The 11,100-nt window shown below is 45.2% G+C and overlaps 2 annotated features.

Moving 5' to 3' along the window:
* Positions 2,026 to 2,125: an enhancer, noted in NCBI's record as "active region_28910". NCBI's record gives its function as "activates an Ori minimal core promoter by ATAC-STARR-seq in GM12878 lymphoblastoid cells {active_cell/tissue: GM12878}" and the evidence as "EXISTENCE:reporter gene assay evidence [ECO:0000049][PMID:35858748]".
* Positions 2,226 to 2,735: an enhancer, noted in NCBI's record as "active region_28911". NCBI's record gives its function as "activates an Ori minimal core promoter by ATAC-STARR-seq in GM12878 lymphoblastoid cells {active_cell/tissue: GM12878}" and the evidence as "EXISTENCE:reporter gene assay evidence [ECO:0000049][PMID:35858748]".

Below are 11,100 nucleotides of genomic sequence, written 5' to 3' on the forward strand. Positions count from 1 at the left end.
ACACGCGTGTACGCAGCTCCTCCGCTTGCGGGGCTCCTGGCATCTGGTGCAGCACCTGCGCGTGTTTAGTGCTCAGTAAGATGCCCCCTGAAAAAACAAACACAAACCGGGAATTGGAGCCCCCACCCTGGTCCCCTGCCTGCCCAAAATCCGAGTAGTGAGAAGGTGAAGAGGAGTAAAACCGCAGTCTTACCTTTCTTGGATTTCTCCAGAAGATCCTAGCACAGTGCCAGGCTCGCCCAAGCTTATTGGGTTGGAGCAATCAAGTGATAGTACTTGATAGTACTTGATCAAAATGATAGTACTAAGTGGTTCAAGGCACTGTGCTTTTACAAACTGGATATTTTAAGGAACCGTTTCTGTTTTCGTCTAAACACACACACACACGGTCGCTAAATCCTTAAGAATATATTAATCAAAATAGTTATGGAACTTAGTGTTGGGGTAGAATTTTAGATTAAAAGCTACACCTTTATTTTTGCGAACTACCAATTTGACAAGGGCTCCTTCTCTGTCAGATGTCTTAACCTTGTAGGACTGATGGTGGAGGGAGGGATGAAGCTGCCCACCTTGTTGGTTTGGTTTTAACAGCTCAAAATCTCTTTATGTGTTAGGGTCTTTTTTTTTTTGAGATGGAGTTTGGCTCTTGTCACCCAGGCTGGAGTGCAATGGCCCAATCGCGGCTCACTGCAACCTCTGCCTCCCGGGTTCAAGTGATTCTCCTGTTTCAGCCTCCTGAGTAGCTGGGCCCACCACCACGCCCACGACCACGCCTGGCTAATTTTTGTATTTTTAGTAGAGACGGGGGTCTCACCACGTTGGCTAGGCTGATCTCGATCTCCTGACTTCAGGTGATCCTCCCACCTCGGCCTCCCAAAGTGCTGGGATTACAGGCATGAGCCACCGCGCCTGGCCTAGGGTCCCTTTTTATGTCCTGACTCTCAACTGGATTGTAAGAGCAGGGAACGATCTTTTACTTGTTTTTTAACCTGGCATGCCTGTAAGACTCTCACTTATTGGAGGCAGAGCTGCTGTCCTCCAACTTCCGCTAGACAGGCGGAAGCTGCGGAACACAGGGTACTCTAGTGAAAGGGGGACCTCAGAGGCCCACCTGGGAGGGAGATGCTGCTTGTGGACAAGCAGAAGATCTCAGGGGCCTCTAAGAGAGAATTTCTGCAATCTATGGGCAGGGGCCTCTAAGAGAGAATTTCTGCAATCTACGGGAGGTTGCCCAGATGTAGCCTCTGTGGGGCCATTCAATTCTACGGGAAAAGGATTCAAAGAGTTAAGTGTTTGAATTAAAAATTGATGGACTCGGCCGGGCGCGATGGCTCACGCCTGTAATCCCAGCACTTTGGGAGGCCGAGGCGGGCGGATCACAAGGTCAGAAAATCGAGACCATCCTGGCTAACACGGTGAAACCCCATCTCTACTAAAAATACAAAAAATTAGCCGGGCGTGGTGGCGGGCGCCTGTAGTCCCAGCTACTCGGGAGGCTGAGGCAGGAGAAGGGCGTGAACCCGGGAGGCGGAGCTTGCAGTGAGCTGAGATCGCTCCACTGCACTCCAGCCTGGGAGAGAGTGCGAGACTCCATCTAGAAAAATAATAATAATAATAAAATAATAAATAAATAAATAAAAATTGATGGACTCTGAGTCAATTAGTCTGATAGTTTTCCCATCATCAGAAAACATTTAATTATCTTTGACCTTGCCTTTTCCTGGGTGTTGTGAAGTTAGAAATAACATTCCAGCAAAAATTTGGGAAGAAATCTGGGGTTATTTGTTGAAGGGAGTTTCTAAGTCTAGTGATTTTCCCTAACTCAATAGATTTCCAGATTTTAAGAAAAGAAACAAAGCACCTCTGAAGTTATTTGAATTCTAGGCACCAAGCAATCCCTGGGGTTTTTCTAGTTGTTTATGGGACTGGCCACTTTGAAGGCGCAATGGGGATTTCAATTTCTGATGGAAGTGCCAGTGACACTCATGGTCAGGTGATGTGGTTCAGGGGAAGAGCTTGGCAGATGGATCAGGGACATGCTCTAAGATGCCAGTGATGAGGAAGACATTGATACTAGCCAGCTCACTGCCTCTCTTTGTCATCTGTAGCTACCCATGTGTCCTGTTCTAACAGACTGGTTTTTCTGTGTGGCAATTCTTCCTTTCATGGACTCTGGAAACAAAGACTCTTCCAAAGGTGGGCACACTGCACAAGGGCCTTTTGAAGAAAAGTTTCTCAAGGATTTGGGGCCTATAAAAGCCATTCTCTTCTGTCCCACCCACCCCTTCCTCTCTGCCCTAAGCCAGTGTAAGTGAAAAGAGCAGGCAGTCTGACCTCACTCTCTTCATGTGCCACATCCTGTTTTCAGATTAATGAGCTCATTTGCTGGAAATTTACCAAGGGAAATAGTTTAATTTTGGAAAGTACCAAAAACTTATCTGTAGTCATTCAGCTTCATTTGGGGGGCTCTTGAAATGGAGGGGCATCACCGGAGGACCTCTGAACGCCCAGGGAGCAGCAAGGCAACAGAAATTGAAAGCGAGCCCAGTGAGGCTGAACCTGACTCAGAAAGGAAACAAAATCTTTTGGAGGCCACTCATGTCTACCCAGTTGAATTTTTTTTTTTCTAAAAATAACTTTAAAAAGAGAAATAGTTTATCTGGCCAAAGCCTCATATCTGGTGGTCTGACCATGGAGCCATGACTGAGGAACAAGAAAATGAACACAGGGAAGCAGGCAGTGTTTGAGCCTCCACCCTCTACCTTCTTGTCCATGTATTAATATGTTTGGCTTGTTCTAAGAGGCACGGAAAGGCTTTCAGTCTCCAGTTTTGCCCCAATCCCTTAGCAATCCGACCCTTGACATTGAAGTTGTCTGCCTAACCTAGTAGCCTTTGTGGCTCCTGCAGCCAGGGGGATTCTAGATGATCACAGATTTGCAAGCCATTCTGCATTGGAGATGATGAGATGATGGAGCACAAGTGATGTGCACCCTAGACTTTGCCTCTAAGCATCCAACCACCTCCTGGCCTGCACTGTTTCCCAGAGTAGAGATTTATCATCCATTCTAAGCAGAATGAATGGAACACGTAAGTGAATCCAGCCGGCTAAAGGCAGCCATTTGGGCAGGCTCCTGTTTGTCAACAGCCCTTAAAATGTGGAGCCCAGAATGGTTCTCACTCCCTCAACCCCAGTCAGCCCTTTGGTGCCTTCTTCTTATTACCAGCAGCACGCCTTGTCTCTGTCATACGGCTTGTGTTCAGTAAAAACAATTAGTGAACAGCTTTTCTGTTAGCATCATTTTAATCTGCTCTGATAACTTCTGATTCTTGAACCAAGAAATTTAATTAAACAGATGATTACAAGCTGTCAGCAACCTATCAGATTAGAAGACCAAATGGTACTGGGTTCTTCAATCCAAATTCAGTATGTCCCTTTGGCACATTACACAGAACTGATATCAACAACAAAACAAAGAAATAAAACATGATCTTATAAAAATGACAGCATAACACGTGTACTTTTTGCTATGGTCTGATTATTAAAAATGTCCCAAATTTCCTTCTGTTAATCTCCATCTTGGTTCTTATTACACTTATAATAACTAGCATTTTTAAAAACGTGCCTGTTTACAGGTTTTTTTCTTTCTACCACAGAATTATGAATACACGAAATTGTAGGAATATATGAAAATGTGTATAGGAATATATGAAATTAGATGAATTAAAACCATGAAAGTAAAGCTGTATCTGATTTCATTGTTGTTTCCCCTGGCTTAGCATGATGCTAGTTACATAGGAGACATCACTAAATATTTATTCAATAAATGACTAATATGCAAGATGCTATTAATACAAATTTTACTTATGGTAACAATAGTTAATGATGATTTCCCCACCATCAGAAAACATTTATTAAGTATCTTCAACCTGGCCTTTTCCTGTGTGTTGTGAAGTTAGAAATAGCATTCTAGGAAAAATTTGGAAAGAAATCTGGGGTTGTTTGTTGAAGGGAGTTTCTATGTCCAGTGATTTTCTCTATCCCAAGAGATTTCCAGATTTTAAGAAAAGAAACAAAGAACCTCTGAAGTTATTTGAATTGTAGGCACCAAGCAGTCCCTGGGGTTTTACTAATTGGTTGTGCACTTTGAAGGCGCAATGGGGATTTCAGTTTCTGATGGAAGTGCCAATGACACTCGTGGTCAGGTAATGTGGTTCAGGGGAAGAGCTTAGCAGAGGGACCCTTTGATAGGGACATGCTCTAAGATGCCAATGATGAGGAAGACATTGATACTAGCCAGCCTACTGCCTTTCTTTGCCATCTCTGGCTACCTATGCGTCCTGTTCTAAGAGACTGGTTTTGCTGTGTGACAATTCCTTCTTTCATGGACTCTGGAAACAAAGACACTCCTAAAGGTGGACATGCTGCCCCAGGGCCTTTTTCCGGGCTACGGAATTATTGCTCTTTCTTCACACTCACCTTTGGGAGGCTTGGGTTCCCTGGCCACTGGCTAGTACAGCACAAGAATAACGCAGTGTTCGAACTCAACAGCTGTTAACATCTGGCTGAGGAAGGATACAGTATGAAGGTTCCCATCTCACTCTATCTTGAGGACTCAGCCTGAGAGAGAAAAATCAAGGAGTGGGGAAAGCTGTTACTCAGAAATCAGAAGATTTGCTTTGATGTTGGAGGACTGTGGCGGAAAGTTCCTCCCATCCTTGAACCTTATTTTTCTTACCTGCAAAGTGGGAGAATGACTTCAGGGGAATCCTTCAGCATGAACCATTTAATTCTTTAAACTTTAATCATTCAAGCCCTGGTCCTGGGGAAGAGGCACATTCTCCCATCTGTTGAGGGGCTGTTCTCCCCACCTGTACTTGGGGTGGTACCAGGAACCCCTATAACGGGTGCTGGAAGCTTCCACTAGAGGCATGGTCTTTTTGGACTCCAAACATTTTGTGCGTTTTTTTTTTTTAAGGGAAGCTATGTGAAAAACCTCCTCTGATGGATTTCTTTCAGAGCTCAAGCCAGGCAAATTCCCAGCACAAGCCAAGGCTTGGGAGCAAGAATATGTAGCAGGAGCAAGAGGCTAAGAACCAGGGTGCAGCTCTCACTCTCTCAAAGAATGCACAAGCTGGGGGTCGGGAGGGTTGTGAAAGTGGAGTTGATGTTTGCTCATCTCTTCTGAACTCCTTGTCTTACAAAAGGGGAAATGGGGGCCCAGAGAGAGAAATGAACTTGCACAGTCAGTCCAAGGTCCAGAAGCCTCTTCCTCTGTATTCTGATGCCCTATTGTCTCAAGACATCTTAGTAATAACTCTGTCCTTTTATTCCTGCATTCGTTTCTCCTTGGATATGTCTCCACAAGACTGAGTTTCCTGAGGGCCAAGAAGCAGGGCACAGACATCTCTGTAGGCTCCTTTGTGCCTAGCCTGCATCTTGTACACAGTGGGGGCCCAGTAATGATATATTAAGAGGGACTTCTTTGCCTTCATAAGAGGATTCTGGGATACTAGGAAATATTAACCCTACCTTTCACACCTGTGGGTTACCCAGATGTATTTAACAAATATGTGTTTAGCTTCTACCATTAGCCTTTTTGCAATTTTTTTTTGTTTGAGATAGAGTCTCACTCCTTTATCCAGTGTTGTGATCATGGCTCACTGTAGCCTCCACCTCCTGGGCTCAAGTGATCCTCCCACCACACCCTCCCAAGCAACTGGGACTACAGGCATGCACCACCACGCCTGGCTAATTAAAAACAAATTTTTTTTTTTTTTTAGAAACAGGGTCTCACTATGTTACCCAGGCTGGTCTCAAACTCCTGGGCTTTAGTGATCCTCCTGCTTTGGCCTCCCAAAGTGCTGGGATTATAGGCATGAGCCTACAATCTTTTTGTAAATTTTAAAAATAATTCTAGCATATATATCTAGCAACACTTTCTGGAGATCATTGTCTTAATCATTTCAGATGTGCACTTGTAACATTTTAAAATGCAAAATCAAATAGATAAGAAAAGCCATTCTGTCTACTGCCATCCTTGGTTACTATCTTCTGTAACCAGTGCCCAGCTGCACAGCCAGAGAGCTGTGGGTAGGGCCCATGGCTCTCTCTGGCCCCTGTGATTGCTGAAACTGGAACTGCTTGGGGAGCCCTGGGGCCCTGGCACCAGCTCCTGCTCAGTCCTGCTTCTCCTTTCACAGGGAACATGTCTACACACCAGCTCTCCTGAGCAGTCTTGGAACCCCTCCAAGGACAGCCCTGGACACTGGCCAAGGGGGAGGGTGCCCCTGGGAAGGACGTATCTATCAGGAAGCAGAGACTGTGGCAGGCAGGCATACACACGCACATGCTCGCAGGATGGCTGGCTTACCCAAGATTTCAAAAGAAGTTGGAAATCTGGATTTTTATGTGAAACGACTTGATTTTTAGAACACCCTATAAGCCAAAAAATAAACCCAAACCAAATGAGCATCCCTATGAACTGTGTCTGTGGGCCACTATTTGTGACCTCTGGTAGAGCCTGGCACTCCATAAACACAACAAAAGCAGATGTGTGAACGTGCCCACATGTAACTCACCCGGGCTGTTCACATTGTTCATCCAGATGTGGACCCTGCACACACATAATAGAGACCTTCATTGGACATTGACACACACATAGTATCTCCCGGGATGTGGTTTTAATATTTGCACTTTCCACCTAAGGAGACTGAATGTCAGAAAGATCTCTAAGATCATGTCAAAATCTAGGCTGCCTGACCACAAAGCCAGTGTTCTGAACCGCTGCACAAACCACCACCCAGATGCCTGCACTCTGAATTAAAATTGCCAGTTACTTTGCATCCTTCTCTAAACTAAGCTTTATGAATTTAGAGACTGTGTTTCATTTGCTGGTGCATCCCATCACCTGGCACTATGCCCAGCAGAGCACAGAAGGTGCTCAATACGTACTGGTGGGATTGTACCCACAGGCTCATACAAACGTGTACAGACAGGGCACATGTAAACCCACATAGCCCCACCATGCTGAAGAACACATGCACACTGACGTTCCCACATGCACACCACCCACCTCCATCTCCCACCCGCCAGGGCATTGGACCCTAAGCTGGGGCAGCCCAAGTTTCCCCTGCCAGCCCCCTGCCAGCCTTGCCCAAAGCCTTCAGAAATAGTTTCCTGGAAATCTCGAGGCGGCTGTGGTGTTCTTTTTCCTAACTCAGGAGACAACTCAGCAGTTTTGTTTTTCAAAGTCTGAGACTCATAAACCTGGAATCCTTTCTTCATTTTTTCCACCAGAATTTTCCTTGGCCTGTTGCCTTCCCCCAGGGCCTTGGCTAGGAGGTTACACTCGGAGCGCCCTCTGCCGGGCACTGTCCTCCCAACCTTGTGGGCAGTTGCAGATGGGACCTGCCCCAGGCTGCTTTACAGATGGGAACCTAAGTCAGATGGTGGTAGTGAGGAGAGGTTAGAGGATACTGGCCCATTGCAAGTGTGTGCCAGTGTTATTACTAGCAAGGGATCTTTTGTGATTTTTTTTTACGTTTTTGAAAATAAAAGAATAAATAGCTTCAAGAGCTCAGATGAAGGCCCTCTGCTCTCCCAAGGGCCTCTGTGTGGGGCAGATGACAGAGGTTTGGGAAAATCACCTCATTCAACTTTATTCTTGGGTCTCCATCACATTTAATAAGTGAGGAAATGGAGACACAGAGAGATTTTGGGGGAAGAGGTGCGAGGAATATTTATTGAATGGCTGCTATGTGCAAGGTATACTTATGAATCTCTGTCATTTCATCTTGGCAAATAAACCTGTAGGGTAGTTGCTTTTGTTTCCATTTTACAGATTAAGACATAGAGGCTCAGTGAGGTCTCTCAAGGTCAGAAAGGGAAGGGGAAGAGCTAGGATTTGAATCCAAATCTTCTTTTTCTTGGCTTCGTAGCCTCCTGGATTTTTTCCATTTGGCTGCAGGTCTGAGTTCAGTGGGGCCCAGGGTGGAGCCTTTGTGGCTGGACTCATCAGAGGCCAGGGTTCCTTGGCCTGGCTGCCCAGAAAGGCAAGCCTTTCTCCTTGTACACTACCAGAGAGCAATCTTTGGGGGACACAGTCTTTAGGGGACACAGGGGAATGGGTCAAGCAGCCCCACCAGGACTCAGAGCTGGGAATAGGCTCCTGGGACTGGCAGCTGTGCCAAGGCCCCTTAACAGTAAAAAACAGGATCAAATGCCTTTATCAACCAAACGCATGAGAGGCTCCAAAGGGCAGGGTTTTTTCTGGGAAAGAAAGCAGGTCCTGAAAGGTTTTTGTTTTGTTTTTCTTCTTAATGGGACCCTACATTTCACCAAGAGTTAGTCACTACCCTCCCTAATCCATCCTCCATCCTGCAGCGCTGTCCAGAAACTTTCAAAATGTCTCAGTTCCTGCAGGAAAACATCCAAACCCTTTATCTTGTTTGTTTTTGGTCTGGCTTGGCCTTATCTTCCACTTGTCTCATATAAGCAAACTGCTTAAGGGTCTCTGTCTGCACCTCCCTTGAGTCCCACTGCTGGGTGTTTGCTTACATTACTTCTCCTCTCAGAAATAACTTCATTTCAGTGTATCCAAACCTTAGTCATTCTTCCAGACCCAGCTTAGAGGCCATCTTCTCCATGGAGCCTTCTCCACTGCATGCAGCAGAAATGAACCTGCCTTGTACTTGTCTCATGGGCACATGTTGTAGTTCCCCTAATAGACTGAATCCCTTAAGAAACAGTGTTGGATTCATCTTGGATTCTCCTATATGGGTATGAGTGTGTGTGTGTGTGTGTGTGTGTGTGTGTGTGTGTGTGTATGCATGCACATAATAATGTCAATGGTAGTTTGAGAAGGGGAAACATGGTGAGCTTTGTCTCATGATAGCATATACCAGCCACCCAAGAAATCTTAACAATGAGATATGGGCACCATTTTAGACAAACAAGACAAAGGAGAGGTGGCTCTGCTCAGATCAGCCTCAATTCCTAAAGTTGGTGTGGGCAAAGAACGCTGTTCCCATGGACTAGAAGCAGGCCATGCACAAGGAAGCTGATGTGAAAGGCCTCTTAGTTTTGTCCAGTGGGGGAGGGTGACAAACTGAACACATTGCTGGATTCCTACGGCGGCAGAAGGAGTGAACGATGGGATACAGTGTGGTGCAATGAACGTGGAATGGTGAAAGGTCTTTAGAGACTGGGGGAGTGGCCCAGCACAGTGGCTCACACTTGTAATCCCAGCACTTTGGGAGGCCAAAACGGGTGGATCACTTGAGGTCAGGAGTTCAAGATCAGCCTGGCCAACATGGTGAAACCCCATCTCTACTAAAAATACAAAAATTATCCTGGCATGGTGGTGCACGCCTGTAATCCCAGCTACTCAGGATGCTGAGGCATAAGAATCACTTGAACCTGGGAGGTGAAGGTTGCAGTGAGCCAAGATCATGCCATTGCACTCTAGCCTGGGTGACAGAGCAAGACTTCTTCTCAAAAATAAAAAGAGAGAGAGAGATTGGGGGAGTGTCTAAAAAGCCCATGGACATGCCCATGAAAGAGTCCGAGTCTGCTTTAAAGCCCTTGAAAGCCATCTTATGGCAGTACTGGTCAAGTAAGCTCTTCTGCTCCCCTTTCTTCTACCTTTCCTCCCTACCAATCCCTCTAGTGCTGGAGAGGTCAGAAGTCACAGCTTGCACAGCAATGTGAATATACTCAACACTACTGAACTGTGCACTTGGGAGTAGTTAAGATGGTAAATCTTATGTTACGCATTTTAAATTTATTACAATCTTAAAGAAAGAAGCAGCCACACTAAACAGCCTTAGTAAGCTGAGAAGGAAACTCCAGGGAAAGAAGCAGCTGCCCGTGACACTATTCCCAGCTATAGGGGTCCCAAACCTGCAGCAAGCCCTGTTTGGGAGAGAAGATTGTATTTTAAATCAAGTTGAGAATTTTGCTTTTGTATGGGACTGAACATCAAATTTATGAATAGAGTTGTTTGGTGACTGAAGTGATCATAGGACTTTTTAGTTCCTAAGAGTGATCACAACAGTCATAAGATGCTTGAGTTTTCCTTAAAGGATAGAGAAAGGATATCTCTCCCTTCCCTTTGAATAAATCTTTATAGGGAGCTGGAAGGCAAAACAAAGTTGACTTATGAGTATGCACAGGGAGTCCTACTTACTTAATTTAGCAATTATATTTGCTTTTGTAAAATGGGATCTCTCCTTCCATTATATTTTTCTAATTGGTGTTGTTTGCCTCTATCACATCTTCCAAAGCAACTAAAAGCTTGGGCTTACCTCAGATAAAGGCACTTAACCATTACCTGAAAGATCAGCTGTGCTTCAGGCTTTAAACCCTTAATTGCTCGGTATTCTCATGTTCACAGGTTGAGGGACTCAGTATTAACGTGCCTTTGTTGCAAGTTCTTGTAAACAAAGACAGTAAAATTATGGTTCTGATGTTCTATTAATTGTCATTAATTTATACCTACCAAGTGTCAGGTCTTGTGCTTAGGATACAGAGAAGAACAAGATACAGCCCCTGTCCGCCAGGAGCTCACAGTGGGATAGAAGGCCATGATAAGAAATCAATGAGAAGGCTGTGGGTGGCAGGAGCTCCAGCACAGATGTGTTTCCAGAGAAGGACTTACAGGGGCTTGTCCTGAGTGTACCCTTGATGCTGGCACTATGTCTGGCCCATGATAAGCTTCCTGTCCCAGGCCATGTGCTTCCAGGAAGTTATCCTTGCTTAATTCTATGTCTACTCCGATTACTTCTTTACTTTATCATCTCAGCACTTTGCAATTCAGCCTTGTGTTCATTTACCCTGGTGCTGCAAATACAGGGAACACACATAATGCACAGGATACTGACATGCTGTGTATCTCAGGGCACTCAGAAGAGCTGAAGCTATGATTTGAATCCATAAAGTTTGACATCTGCTTCCCATTCGTAGGCAGTTATTACAAAGTGGCAATCACTGCCTTTGTGATGATCATAAGCATTTTTCATGCTCCTACCTAGTCTTTAAAATGATTCTTTTTAGAGGCTGCATAATATTTCATGGAATATGCATTCTGTCATTTACATGT

This window comes from Homo sapiens, chromosome 9 (genome assembly GCF_000001405.40).
Source record: "Homo sapiens chromosome 9, GRCh38.p14 Primary Assembly".
Classification (NCBI taxonomy): domain Eukaryota; kingdom Metazoa; phylum Chordata; class Mammalia; order Primates; family Hominidae; genus Homo; species Homo sapiens.